The 15,545-nt window shown below is 41.4% G+C and overlaps 1 pseudogene across 20 annotated transcripts in view; it reads left to right on the forward strand.

Annotated features, from left to right (window-relative positions):
* The window catches only part of ATP6AP1L (ATPase H+ transporting accessory protein 1 like (pseudogene)), a 40,157-nt pseudogene extending 30,123 nt beyond the window's left edge, over positions 1–10,034 (forward strand). For 17 of the 20 annotated variants that reach the window (NR_172122.1, NR_172119.1, NR_172117.1 and 14 more), the window contains 3 exons: positions 1,385–1,435; positions 3,839–4,079; positions 9,226–10,034. The product of NR_172122.1 is annotated as an ATPase H+ transporting accessory protein 1 like (pseudogene), transcript variant 17 (transcript). Of the gene's footprint in view, positions 1–1,361; positions 1,436–3,624; positions 3,803–3,838; positions 4,080–9,225 lie in introns of those variants that run through there. The other 3 variants (NR_169870.1, NR_169868.1, NR_169871.1) reach the window with 3 other exon arrangements.
* The last annotated feature ends 5,511 nt before the right edge of the window (positions 10,035–15,545 follow it).

Genomic DNA, 15,545 nt, shown 5'->3' on the forward strand with positions numbered 1-15,545 from the left:
CTTAACTGTCATTCCAACTAGGAGTAGAATGCCTGGATCATATGGTATGTGTATGTTTACCTTTTTAGAAAACAGCCAAACTGTTTTTTAAAGTGGCCGCATCATTTTTCCTTTTCTCAAGCATTGTATGAGAGTTCCAGTTGCTTCACATTCTCACTAACACTTCGTATGGTCAGAGTGAGACTAGAGAAAGCATTTTTATATTTCTGCATGTTTAGGAATTTCTGAACAAATTTTTACTGGGAACTGGGTTAAAAGATAAGTGTTAGAGTTAGTGAGAGATTTACCTCTTGAAAGGAATGTGTTGTGTTCATGTATCAAGGGGTAATGAAACTCAAGGCCATAGAGACGTTCCAGGGGTTAGAAACTCAGAGAGGCTTATCTTATCCTCCCCTCGGAGATATTTATTTACATACCATGGGTATGAGACCTGCAGCCATTTGTCTCCTTATGGTGAGCGATTTGCTTCCATCCAAAGGCTAATTAAAGTCTTTCATCCAAAGACTAATCATCCCTCTTCTCTTCCTAAGGAGAATTTATTGACACTAGAGGAGCAAATGTTTCTCTCCCTCTCTTGGGAGGTGAGAAGGAAACCACGGTCTCTCTCCTATATAAGCTCCCAGATTCATAATTTTGGTGTTGCTCATCTGTATTACAAATCTCAATATGTGTAGGATGACATCTGGCTCTTCTCCTGCTGCCTGGGTGGAGGAGAATTGGATTAGAAGGGGGAACCAATATGGTTGTTCCCATGAGTAAGTCAATTCATCTGTCTTTGCTCTGGGAAATCTTATGTTTACTCTTAGGAAAACAGGAATAAATGTAGGTATTAAAAGCTTAAGAGTCAGTTTAAAAAGTGTTTTAGCCATTCTGATTCCTGTACTGTGTTATCTTTATTGTGGTTTTATTTTACATTTTCCGAATGTCTAATGGTCCTAAGCATCTTTTCATGTACTTATTGACCATTTGTATATCTTTCTTTAAAACATGCTCGAGTCTTCTGACAATTTTTATGATTTTTACATTGGGCTGTCTTTTGTTGAGTTGTTAGTGTTATTTATTGTATTCTGGATAGAGTTCTTTATGTATACGTGTTGTGAGTATTTTCTCCTGTTGCGTGGCTTGCCTTTCTTGTTTTCTTAAACAGTGTTTTTTGAAGAGTAAAAGTTCTGGATTTTAGTAAAATGCAATTTATCAGTTGTTTCTTTTATGGTTCATGCCTTTGTACTTTTTTCAGGAAACCATTGCCTACCTCAAGATTAAAAAAAAGTTCTGTACATTTTGTGTGTTAGGTGTTACGTGATCCACCTTGAGGTAACTTTTGAGTACATATGAAGTCAGGGTCATTCCTATTTTCATAGACTGCGTTGTTTCCTTTTCTTAGGTTGTCTTTGAAGCTTGGTGATGCTGGAAACCCCAGAAGTCTTGCTATAAGGTAGGTAGGACACCACTTTGGAGTATCGCAGTTTCAGCACTTCAGATTAGCTCTATAGAATTTATTCATTCCACATGTGCGAAGCAAGGGCTTGCTATATGCCCAAGCACTGTGACACATTGCATGCCACATCAACCTAATTAAACGGAAAAGTTGGTGCTGTGATATGATGGGATCCTATACTAATGCTTTCTTTCTAAAAGTTTCTACCAAAATACCCATAGTTCTTCCCTCTCCCCCACCCCCATGCCGCCTGCATTAGGGACTTAGAAAACTCCCAATCCTGAGAATGTAATATCCTTTTCTTCTGAGAAAAGAAGACAAAAGAAAAAGCTCTAAGGGCTGGGGCTCTGGTTTGAACTTATTTTCTATAGCTTCTTATAATGAATCACACTTACCATTTAACTACAGTGAAAAAGCCTCGTTACGTGTATTCCCCAGCAGACAATCAACAGAGGCCTACAGTTTTTTGGTGTTTAGGTATGAAAGGATGCATCTGTCAACAGAGACTTTAGCCAAGCAGTTAGGAACTGCTCCTGAGGTAGGGGGAGCAATTTGAAGGCTTTTTTTTTTTCTTATAAAAATACAGTGCTTCCCTTCCTATAAGACAAACTTGTTAGTGGAGATAAGTAGTTGTGTCTTTAACATTATTTGGAAAACCAGCAGGATTGTGCTAGGGCAGTCTTTCTTAAGCTTTGCTCTATGGGACACTTCTGCTCTGTAAAAATATTTATAAGATTTTATGAAAAGGGGATTCTGTGGTCAAATGTGTCTGGGAACGACTCTAAACCATGTCTTCCTCTTGGCAATTCACAGTGTAAATTTGTATGTTAAAGTTTCTGAGAAAAAATAATCTTAAGGAAGACTATTGCACTTTGTAACTTTGACTAACTCAGTGTTTCCTGTGTTTAATTTTGGAGAACCTTCTTCCTCAGAACACTTGTCTACATATCATGGGAGACTAGAGTTTCACTGATCATAATTTAGAAAATATATGTCATCATCTTTCAGAGCAACTTTACAAGTAAATAGAATCCCACAAGGTGACCAAACACACATGTCTGTTTGATCTAGAAATGGAGACTATTTTTGATCTGTAATTCCACTTTTTTCCAAAATGAAAAATAGCTTTATTATTATTATTGTTATTATTATTTATTCTGATGATAAAGGTATGTAGCAGAAACTGTCAGTACCCCGTGAATATCTACATGGTCCTTTCCATTTGAGAGCACTGTAGCCTACCTGCTGAACTTTCAACTCCCCGCCTCTCTTTGCCTAAAAGCTTTCTCTGGCCCACTGCCCCCAGTCCCTGGCCCAGCAGCCTTCAACCAATGACTGGAGGACACATACACACACCTCAGCTCCCTCCCCGTCAGGTGAGATAACTCAGCAGCATGTGCTGTGCTCTGGCTCCCAGGTTCCATCACGGCCATGAAGCCCTGCTTGTCCACATTGGAAACTGGCTTAATAATGTACCTCTTTTAGCTGCCTTCCCTTCCTCTGTCATTTCTTTTCTCTCCATTTTACGTATTTTGAATGACTAAACTCCCCTGAATATTTCTTATATTCACACCTGTGTCTTAGAGACTGCTTGCAAAGAAGCCAAATAGAGACAAGAAAAACTAATGAAAACAGAAAAATCAGAAAATATTGAGCTACAGAAAGAAGAAAATGAAAATCATCAATAATCTAAACACCATTTGTAATCACTACTAATGTTTTAATCTCTATCCTTCCAGACATTTTTTTTTAATGCAGTCACTTTTTTTTTTAAATGGAAATAAAATGATAATGACAAGTAAATTATGACTTTTTTCATGGCTGGAAAACAGTCCATTCCAAAAGAGTTAAGATTGGATTTGAAGCCCAGCTCTGACACTTACTCTCCAAGTGAGCTTATTCAAGCCCTTTGTGTCTTAGATTCCTCAGCTGTGAAGTTAGAATAAGGACATTATCTATTACATGGTGTTGAAGTGAAGATTAAACACAATACACATACATAACACAGAAGTTATTAAGAGAGCTATTACTATTATTTTAAACCACAATTTAGCAAATTCTTCATTGATGTCCATTTAAGTTTTTCTCAAATTTTTTGAATAATAAACACATAATCAAGTGTTGATTCTAAAAAAGGAAAAACAAAACAAAACAAACCCAAACTTTGTGTGTTTTTTCTTTCGTAGGAATTTGCACTGTCCACTTTGGGTGCTGCCCTGTCATTTGCTCTTTTTCCATCCATCCAGGGAAGGCTCTGCAGCAAAAGTGAAGCCTTTCCCCAAGCCCGTTCTGCCGCCTGACAAAAGAGGGCGCCATTGTACTGTTCATAGACGATGCCTTGCGTCAGTAAACGTGGGAAAAGTTCTTTAGGAGTAATGCTGTTTTTATAACCATTTTCAGATTCATCCTTACCAATTACAACAAGTTGTCCATCCAGAGTTGGTTTAGTTTGCGCCGAGTCGAGATCATTTCCAACAATTCAATCCAAGCAGTCTTTAACCCAACTGGCGTATATGCTCCCTCTGGTTACTCCTACCGCTGCCAACGCGTGGGCAGCCTGCAGCAGGACCAGGCCCTCTTGCTGCCCAGCGACACGGATGATGGGTCGAGCCTGTGGGAGGTCACTTTTATTGATTTCCAGGTAATAAACTAAAACCTATGCTCAATGCACCTGCGTTTTTGGTACCAAAAGAGCTCAGTGTTTGTTTAAAAACACCTGAAACAAACCTAGATGCTTAAGGAAAAGAGAAGTAGATGCCTTTAAAAGAATATTGGTGGTTTTTTTCCTTTGTCTTTTAAGGTATGAAGTAGAATAGGATAGAGAATTTTATCTCCCTGTGTCCCCCACCTCCTACCCAGGGCTTGCTTTTACATTCAGCTTTATCCAGCACGAATAATTATCAGTGAGGAATGCCAGCCATCTAAGCCCTAGTGAAGCTGTGGGTGAAGCCAGGGACTGACACTTCCTGGACTGAGAGGCCCTTCTGGGGAGAGGCATTGGCGGACAATTATTTTATTTCCTTCAGGGAGTGGCGCAGTGATCTTATCAGGGAAGATAAGAAGTACATCGGCAGTGTGAGTGACAGCTTTGGCAGTTAGTAGGAAGGGACTCAGCGGGGAGTCAAAAATATCCCAAAGATCTTGAAAGTATTTGGAGTAAGGAATGGGGTGTAAGAGATTCCTTTTCACCACCAGAATCTTAGGCTGAGAGACATTCTGTCAAGTTCCTCTATCCTGTTTACCTGTGAATGAAGCTTAGCTTGTTCCTACCACTCCCTGAAATAGTAGGCAGGGCTTTGCATGTACCTCTTATGGGCACATTCCAACCTTTTCCAAATATATGTGGGCATTGGCATATATGCATATTCTTCCCTTTCATCCTTCCCAAGCTTAGAGAAGTGTCGTGTGGATGAAAGGCAGTTTGGGGTAGGGAAGGAGCTCACATTTTGGAGTCAGACAGACCTGGTTTCAAATTACTGCTCAGCCACCAGGGCAAGTTACTTAACCTCTCTCAATTTCTCACCTATCTTTATTAATGTAAAGAATACGTGGCCTAAGATATGTGGAAACACTCAGGAGTGTGCCAGGCGTGGATTAACAATAATTGCTACCTGTGAGTGACCCGTGTGTGTTGGTACTGTGGTCGTTACTTTATGTGCTTTGTCTTCAGAACTTACCATAATGCTGCAAGGTGGTTTTATGAATGAGGTGACTGAATCTCCGATAATCACATAATTTTTCTAAGGAGTATAACTGGTAAACGGTAGAGGCAGAACTCAAATTCTGGACAGTTTGGTTCCAAGGATTCTTTTGTGTGTGTGTGTGTGTGTGTGTGTGTGTGTATAAAATGTTTATAAATATTATTTATATTATGTATGTGTATGTCTATACATGTGTGTATGCATGTGTGTATGTATACATATAGAGGAATGGCAGTGAGGATATAATGACAACAAGGAATATTTTACATATAATTTCGCCTATTTAGACCGGGGGAATTGATTGATTTATACCTCTACCTTGTTCCAGAAATGACTTAGTTGACTTATGGAAATACTACTTATGAAAAATTACTTTCAAAAATAGGCAAATCACTTCACATCCATTAGGATGGCTATTATAAACAACAACAAGCAAACAGAAAATAACAAGTGTTGGCAAGGACAGGGAGAAGTTGGAACTCTTGTGCATTGCTGTTGGGAATGTAAAATGGTGTGGATGCTGCGGCAAATAGTATGGAGTTTCCTCAAGAAGTTAAACATACAATTATCAAGGGATCCAGCAACTCTGCTTCTGGCTATATACCCCAAATAATTGAAAACAGGGACTTGAACAGCTTTCACCTGTGTTTATACCTACGTTCATGGCAGCATTATTCACAATAACCAAAAGGTGCAAGCAACCCAAATGTCTATCAATGGATGAATGGATCAACAAATCTAGTGTATATGTACAATGGAATATTATTCAGCATTAAAAATGAAGAAAATTTGGGGATTGGGCGTGGTGGCTCATGCCTTTAAGCCCAGCACTTAGGGAGGCTGAGGCAGGAGGATCACTCTTGAGCCCAGGAGTTTGAGACCAGCCTAGGCAACATAGTGAGACCCCCATCTCTACAAACAATTTTTAAAAAAGAAATTAGCTGGGGTCGTAGTGGTGTCACCTGTAGTCCCAGCTACTTGGGAGGCTGAGGTGGGAGGATTGCTTGAGCCCAGGAGGTCGAGGCTTCAGTGAGCCAAGACTGTACCACTGCACTCCAGCCTGAGTGACAGATGTCTCAAAAAAAATTAAATTTAAAAAGAGGAAGGAAATTTGGATACATGCTACAACATGAATGAATGTTGAAGACATAATGCTAAGTGGAATAAGCCAGCCACAACAGGACAAATATTGCATCATTTCACTTATATGAGGTACTTACAGTTGTCAAACCCCGAGATGGAAAGGTAGAATAGTAGTTACCAGGGACTGAAGGGAGGAGGGAATGGGCAGTTAGTGTTTAATGGGAGTAATGTTTCAGTATTGCAAGATGTGAAAGCATTCTGGAGATGGATGGCGGCAATGGTTGCACAACAATGTGAATGTACTTAATATCCCTGAACTGTATACACTTAAAATGGTTAGATGATAAATTTTATATCATATATGTTTTATAATAAAAAAACAAAAAATTTAGCAAAGACTTGGGGGTAGAGAAACACAAAGGAAGAAAATGTCAGTTAGAGCCACCAGTGAGGTTAATATACAAAACCACGAGACCATCTGTCTGCACTGGCTGGAGGCGGCACAAGAATTTGGCTCTGAAGTTCTGGAGCAGCCAGTATGAGAAACACTCAGTTACATGTTCACAGGCTCCCTAAGACTACTGCCAATGTGCTTGGGATAAGCACATTCATCCCTGGTGGTGTGAGATGTATACATCCTCATCAGCATTCTTATTATAAACACAGCTTTCAGGGGGACAGATGGGCCTTGTTGAAACCCCCTTCATGTGAAGAGATGGCAGAACACAAGCTCAGTCCAGGGGAGAGGAGGTGATGGTGATGGTGGCTGAGGTATGTGTACAAAAGGCTGCTGTCCACATACACAGCTCTGCTGGCCTGGCTTATGGTGGGAATAGAGCATAGAGCAATGTGGCCGGTGCGGCAAACTCGAGTACTTGGGTAACTGGTGAGTTGGGCTGGGACCATGGCAAAGGGTAGCCTTCATCACAATGAGCATTTTACAAATTCAACTGCAGCTGATTTTTGCTTTGTAGGAATGCAGGGCTGGTGTTGCTGGATCTTTTCAATAGAAGCTAGAATGGTAGATTCTCACAGGAAATTTTCAGGATATTCCGAGTACTGGGTCAAACAAAACACACCTGTGGGCTAGAAACAGCATGTCTGTATAACCTCTAGTCCAGGAAATGGGTGGACAATGTATCCTTCAGGCATTCTCCACACTTACTGTTCTCAAACAAGTCTTGTTAAGAATTAAGTGGCAGTTGGCTGGGCGTGGTGGCTCACGCCTGTAATCCCAGCACTTTAGGAGGCCGAGATGGGTGGATCACCTGAGGTCAGGAGTTTGAGACTAGCCTGGCCAACATGGTGAAACCCTGTCTCTACTAAAAATACAAAAATTAGCAGGGCATGGTGGCAAGTGCCTGTAATCCCAGCTACTTGGGAGGCTGAGGCAGGAGAATCGCTTGAACCCTGGAGGTCGAGGTTGCAGTGAGCTGAAATCCTGTCATTGCACTCCAGCCTGGGCGACAAGAGCAAAACTCCATCTCAAGAAAGAAAAAAAAAAAAAAGAATTAAGTGTCAGTCAACCTCAGGACGTTCTCCTTGGCTGGAGTTGCAGAATCAAGTGAGGTCCTCTTTTGTCATGGAGGAGCTCGACTCTTCAGGCACCAGTCTCAAGAGAAGGTCACTTTGTCTCTTTATAGGAGGTGTGGGGCAGGGATCCCCGAAGCCAGGACAAGAGTCTCCTTCAGGATCTGCTTTGGGTTCAATCGAGTTGGGCGAGCAAGGCCCCTTGTGTCTATGGAGTGATGGGCGGCCTCAATAATTTTAGCATGGGACAATGCCAAAGTGCTCACTTAAGCCATCAAAGTGAATTTTCAGTAAAGCACTCATGGATAGTTCAGTTGTCTGATGTACTCTTTAAAAACTGAGTAGGTGTCTGAATGAGGAAATGCTGTGTAGGGTCATACTTTTAAAGCCGGCTGGACAGGGAGCTGTCTTCCACAAGCGATGGCTCTTGCTTTAAAGTAATTGCTCTATAGTCCTGTTTCATTTTGACAGTATTAGATATCAGTGCCAGTTCTCAATTTGAACCTCTCTTCCTTTCAAGTAATTATACCATTTCATCTGCACACAATGGAAGCTTTACTTTCTATTTGGTTGGTGCAAAAGTGATTGCGGTTTTTGCCATTAAACGTAATGGGTAGGATGCAAGGAGGGGCTGGTATCCACCTCTTCCAAAAATGGGACAAAGCCTGTATGATAAAACCAATAGAGAGAGAGAGAGAGGGTAGGGAGGAGGAAGAGACAGAACCCACCAGGAGCTATGGAGTATGAGTCTGACGCCCACTGCCCAGGTTTCAATTACACCATCACAGCATTTACTGTTATGTGACTCTGGGCAAGTTACTTAATTTTTCTGTGCCTCAGTTTCCTCATCCATAAAGTAGGAATAAAATAGTAACTTACTCATAGGCTCTTTGCCTACTAAACAAGGTAGTATATGGTGCACAAAAACCTTCAATACGTGTTAGCTTTTATGATTATTATTTATGTTTTACCTCATTAAGGATCATGACATCCCCCTTCAAAGACTCTTCCTCATTCCTGTCAATAGAATCAAAGGCAGAGGAACGGAGACTTAAAATCTTTGTGAAACTTATACTACCCTTATAAAATTTTGAGTGTGCTTTGAATTTTAGAGACACCACAGCAGTTGTGGTTTTTACATGAACTGGAATATTTCTAAGGATCAGATTAAAAGAACTTTTATCTCAGAGCCTTGAAATCAAGGTTTTATTTCAGAGTCTTGAATTTCATGAGCCTCCTAGTTATGACATCCATGCATCCCAGAATTTCTGGGTCAGTCTTGTTTTAAGATTGAGTTGCATTGTCCCCATAAGCACAATCACATTTGTCAAATTGTGTGGTTAAATTATTCAGCAAATATGGTGATAGTATATTAAATTTGGCTACCTAGGGGCCAGAACTGCCAGCCCAACTGGGAAGTAGATCCTAGGAGAGAAGGGATGTATCACTTCAGCTCCTTCCTTTCTCCTGCAGATCCAAGGTTTTGCCATCAAGGGGGGACGATTTACCAAAGCCCAAGACTGCGCCTCCTCCTTCTCGCCAGCTTTTCTGATCGGCCTGGCAATGTCCCTGATCCTGCTGCTGGTGTTGGCCTATGCCCTGCACATGCTCATCTACCTGCGGTATCTGGACCAACAATATGATCTCATCGCCTCTCCTGCCCACTTCTCGCAGCTGAAAGCTCGAGACACAGCCGAAGAGAAGGAGCTGCTGAGGAGCCAGGGGGCTGAATGCTATAAACTGAGAAGCCAACAGATCAGCAAAATCTATGTTTAGCAGCACAGGCTGGCCCCCACCATGTCCACAGTGGGCTCCGAAAGTTGTCTCTGTTCTGTGCTATTTGACTTGTGAATTACAGATTTTCACCAAATGGCTTGATTACAAAAAAAAAGAAAAAACACAAAAAGGAAATAGATAATGAATTCTTTTTGAACCATCCACTGGCCTACTTAGGTAGACTTGGGGCAATCAAAAAAGGCATCTCAGGGATCCCACAGAGACAAATATGACTGTTAGTTGCCTCAAAGTACCCTGAAAGCAAAGGGGTATTTCAAGTACGGAAAAAGAGAGAGAGAGAAGAAGAAGGAGGAGGAGGAGGAGGAGGAGAAGGAGAAGGAGGAGCAGGAGGAAGAGGAGGAGGAGGAGGAAAGGGAGGGAGGGAGGGAGAGGGAGAGAGAGAGAAAGATTGGCAACACAGAGAAGGGAAAACACACTTGGTCCTCCTTGCCTGTGCCAGTTTGGATGTGACAATTATAGAAATAATAAACCAAGATTATCTGGAAGTTCATAATTTAAACTATTTTGTAACATAATTTGCATTTCTAGATATTATGTCCCAATTTTGTTTTAAAAACAGTCTTTTTCTCTTTCATAGAAATGTTGAGGGAGGACTCAACATGTGGCAGAGCACTTTATTTAAGGACCTTCTTGTCCTTTACTGTGCTGTTCAGAAGCAGTACAGCTCCATCTGTGAAGTAGGGGTAATAGTCATGGCCATATTTTACCTTTCCATTTGGGAAGGGGCCAGGGTTGTCTCACTTGTCTGATTTAGACCTCCATGAGCTCTCATAGGTCCACTTGGAATAAACAGTAGAGCTAAGCAATAACAGTGTGCTTGCTATGCAAACACAGCTTTGAGACATTCCCCTGATCTTCCTTCCAATGAGATAGTGCCCTCTAAATGCTTCCTGAATAGAAATTCTGGAGCCACCACTGATGTTCTTACCATTGCTGTCTTTCATATGCATTCCTCATCATCCTTTTCAGCTCTTGGCAGATACTGAAGATTGATTCAACCTTCATCCTCACCAAAGCGTCTCTAATAATATACCTTCTGTCTTAAAGAGATCTTAAACATAAAGATGACATTGCATTTTCCCAGGTAGGGTTTGGTACAGGACCTAGGTTCTACTAAGAAGATACTCCTACACAAAACTTAGAATGCAGACAGGAAACATGTGCAGTGGAGGGTCACACACAGAGCAAGAAAATCTTCTGGGCAGCTGTCACGATGAGTCTGCTGTCTAGTCCCATCCTAGGTGGTAAGCAGTAGATGATAATGACAGTTTTCTGATGGGACAGTCTCATGTTGAGCATTTATTTTGGCTGCAATTTTCTTGGTTATGAATGTAGGTTTGGTTCTGGCCCTCTCAGAATTCTGTAAGATCCCATACTTTATAGTAAATTTCTTTCTGTTTTAATAACAGAGTTGATTCTGTAGTCTGCAGTGAAGAATCCTGATTTATGTAGTTGTTAGTACCAAGAGGATTGCAGGGAACAGACTCTCAAGAAAATGCAAATCTATGATTGATTATCCAACTCCATTTGGCTTTAAACCAGTGGAAACTGTCAGCCTTAGAGAATGGTATTCAATAATAAAACAGATTTTTATTGTGGTTCCCTTGAGCATCCACTGGTGTTATAAGTGGTTGTTTGCTAGGTTACATGTACGTGAAGGGTAAACATAATGTATTGCTCAAACTAGGACACTTTTGAAAGAGAAAACGAGTATAGTTAACAATTCTCAGATAGCAGACATAAATAGGATGGTGCCAAGCAAACTGGGATAGATAGTCACCATGGGTATGGATGATATGCTGCAGGTTAGACTGGCTCTTTCTAACTGTGCCCAGTGGCTTACAGTCTGGGAAGTTTCTATGACTCATCTAAAGAGATTCCTTATATCTTGTCAAAGGGCCGGCGTGGTGGAAAATCAGACACAGGTCAGATCCTGCAAACTGCTTACCTGCATTGCAGGTGAAATTCATAGCTTTGCTGGATCTCTTATATGAACACAAGCATAATGATCACAAAACAGAAGAACGCTGACAGGCTAAGAGCAGTGGCTCATGCCTGTATCCTCAGCACTTTGGGAAGCCAAGGCAGGAGGATCGCTTGATGCCAGGAGTTCAAGACCAGATTGAGCAACATAGTGAGACCCTGTCTATTCAAAAAAAATTCTAAAAAGTTAGGTAAGGTTGCTGGCATGCACCTATAGTTCTAGCTACTTAGGAGGCTAAAGCAGGAGCATTGCTTGAGCCCAGGAGTTTGAGGTTACGGTGGGCTATGATCATATCACTGCATTCCAGTCTGAGTGACAGAGTGAGACCTTGTCTCTAGAAATAATAAAATAAAATAGGCCAGACACAGTGGCTTATGCCTGTAATCCCAGTATTTTGGGAGGCTGAGGCAGGAGGATCACTTTTGCCCAGGAGTTCGAGATCAGCCTGGGCAACACAGCAAGATCCTGTCTCTACAAACAACAACAACAAAATTAGCTGGGCTTGGTGGCATAAGCGGTAGTCCTAGCTACTCAGGAGGCTGAGGCTGGAGGATCACTTGAGTTCAGAAATTTGAGGCTGTGGTAAGCTACGATTGTGCCACTGCATTCCAGCCTGAGTGACAGAGTAAGACCCTGTCTCAAAAATAAAATAAAATTTAAAATAAAAAAAGAGGGGAACGTTGAGAATAGAATAGTGACTTTTGGGAGGATTTAACTTTTTAAAAATACTGAACTCCCAAATTCCACTAATTTTTTTCTTGTTAGCAGAAGCAACCCCTGTGAGACAATGCTATTCCTGCCTTGCTTGAAGACACTGTGATGACCTCACCAGAAATAGTTGTCTTGCCAGGGGGTGTCAATTTTCCTCATTGCCTTTAGGCACTTAGAGTCACATTCTGGCATATACCAGGGAACCAATTGTAAAGTCAAATCTGTGATAATCAAATTGCAAAAATAGTTTTGCTAACTTACGCCACAAAAGATTTGGGAGATTATGTATGGTAATGGATCTGGAGTTGCCAGCCCAGGGAATGAGCTGTATAATTTTAGACTGGATGAATTTTTTGGATATGGGTTCTCTCACCAGGGATTTTGGATTAAATGTGCTGGTTTGAGCGGCTGGAAGTGTTCCTAACAGTTTGCTCTGTTTGTTGTTTAAAACCTAGATTCAACAGTGGCACACACTAAATGAAGTAGAGGGATCAGTCATTTCTTAGTATTAGATAGAGAAAGAAGAGAAGTGCAGTAACTTAAATGATTGGGATGTAGGAATGGATTTATCATGCATGAACAGCTCTCCCTCCCCATAACTATTTTTCTCTGTAAAGGCCCGGAGGACACTCCCTTTGTCATAGCACTGAGGAACACATTGGGAACGTGGCATCAGCACTTTTGAAAAGTGCTCTGGTGGCTGTCCTCTGTAGGCTATGGGTGGAGGTAGATATTACCTTTGAAACAGAATGCTTAGTTTCCATAGGGATGCTGAGACACTGGAGTGGCAGAGGGTGAGTAGCAGCCCAGTAACCTTAAAAGGCTGATGGGCAGGAGTGTTAATCAGATTAGATTAACTTTGTTAATGGTAAATTGGTCTTTGACATCTGTGGCTGCACAATCCACTGATGTACCCTTTGATCCGCATAATAACAGTGTTGATGATAGAATCTAGATCTGGTATAAAAAGCCTTACTCGAACCATCATGGTAGATTCCCAAAGCCGAGTCTGCTCATAACTTGAATCTCTTCAGTGAAAAAGAGACATCTTAAGACATCTTTATGTCTGATGTTGAGCATTATTATGAACAATTGTATGCTTATCCATTAGGTCTTCATCTTTTTGTATCACTTCTGGTATGTTCCGATCTTCAGGTAAAGAACCTACACTATTCATATGAATACCTTTACTATAAACCCATTAGATATGTGATTATTGCTCAGTAATTGTTGGTGCTGCAGAAACATAGCCTAAGAGCTGTCTCCTTGGAGATCTGTAACAAAATGGCAAAAAAAGTGATGTTTGACACAAGTTGGAGTTGAAGGAAAGATGAAAGCATGGCAGAAGGAAACACATATGCAAAGTCTAGGCTCTGTCATGTGTGGAGAACTATGAACACATGTGTGTGGGTAGGTAGATAGAATGTGTTTAGAGGAGTTAAGAAGGAGAAGCTGGAGATGAAGAGAGAGACCAGATCGTTGTGTTCACCTCAAGACTTAGAATCTTGACTTGAGGTAATTGAGAGGCCCTTAAGAAGATTTTGGAGGATTTCAAGCAAGACGATTACATGGTGTGGAAGTGTGAATAGAATAGGGAGAGAAGTGCTGATTAGGAGATTGTTGCAATAGCTTAGGCAAAAAATATTAGGACCTGAACTAACACAGTGGGATGGAAGGTAGAATCTAAAAGAGGTGTTAGGAGGTTGGCAACCAATTAGCAAATCACAAATGAATGGTAGGTGTCTGATTTGGGGTTGTGAGGATGGTGGTGTCAAGCTCTGCAATCAGTGAGAAAACAGGTGAGGGTGGGAGTGGGAGGCCCCTGGAGTCTGACAGTAGAAGTCCAAGTAGGCAGTTGGTTCTGTGGATCAGGGGAAAAATAGAGAGATCTGGACCAGAAACAGAAATTTAGAAATGTAGCAGATGCTGTCAGTATTCCACCCATATTGCTTTGGTAGTTACCATTTTGGTGTATTCTGGCACATCTTTCCATTGTCAACAACTGTCCTCAGGGGCTTCTCTACCTATGGTCACAACAGGCTGGAAGGGGTAAGGAATTAATGCTTTCTGGGAGTAGCCCTCAAAAAATGACTCTCAGGGATTGTGTGCAAATGCTGCAGCTCATTTGCCCTTTGCCTGGGATAACTCTAGAGTATGTTTTACGCTGTTCCCTGGAGCTTCCCAGCAGGACTAAGCTCTTTTCGCCCATTGTGGAATCTTGCTTAATAATGTTTACTTTATGGGCTCCTTTCTCTTCCCTGTCTCCCTTCCCCACTCCCCTGATGGCGTTTCCAGGCATCACTGCCAAAACAAATGATTTGCATCTACATCCCTGTTTCAGGATATACTTCTGGGGAAAACCAAACTAAGACAGGTAGTAATGGGCATATGGGGAAAGTTGAAAACTAGGTGGTAGTGAAGAAATAAATGAGATCACCTGAGAAGAAAGGATAGGTTGATAACAGACCCCTGGGGAACACTATCATTTATGGAGTAGGACTAGAAAGACAAATCTGTAGATTTAGAGTAGGAGAAATCAGAGAGGAAGAGAGCAAACCAAGAAAGAGTAGTGTCCCAGAAATCAAAGGAAAACAGGATTTCAAGATGAAGGAAGTAGTCAACCATGTCAAATGCTGGAGAGAGATCAAGTGAGAAAAGAACTAAGGAGTGTTTATTTCCTGCATTTGCCCAGTAGGAAGTCCTTGGTGAACATCGCACTCCATGGAAAAGAGGGAGTAGAGGGAGCTCAGGATATTTATCCCTTGGGGCTCTCCCAGAGGGAATGCTTTCGACTGGGTTTCGACTGGGTTTCATCCCTTCTCTGACGTTCACTGTTCCTTTCAAGACAGCCCCCTCCACATTCTCTCCTTCTGCCTTTCAGTAACTTCTTCCCTTGTTGCTTTCGACTCAGGGATGGTTACTCCATTGCTACTAGCCCCAGGTCACTACACTATCCCTTGTGGTTCTCCTACACCCTACTGGGACCCTTATAAAAGGTTCTTGTTTAACTAAACCCCACTTAAATTATCCTAATTTGAGGGTGCCATCTGTTTCCTGTTGGAAACAGACTTACACAGGGGTTTAGACAAACTAAAATTTATTTGTTGCTTTGTTTTACATCTAGCAGTTTTAGAGTTTTTCGGAAAGGATTTAAGGCAACCATTTTAATAAGATTTTAATAAGATGGAAGAAACTTGAGCATATTGTAGGGTAAGGCATTAGCGATGAGGTGTTTGTTTTGCCTGCTGCAACATTATGAATAATGCGGTTCACATGTGTAATACACTCCCACAGAAATGGC

This window comes from Homo sapiens, chromosome 5 (genome assembly GCF_000001405.40).
Source record: "Homo sapiens chromosome 5, GRCh38.p14 Primary Assembly".
Classification (NCBI taxonomy): domain Eukaryota; kingdom Metazoa; phylum Chordata; class Mammalia; order Primates; family Hominidae; genus Homo; species Homo sapiens.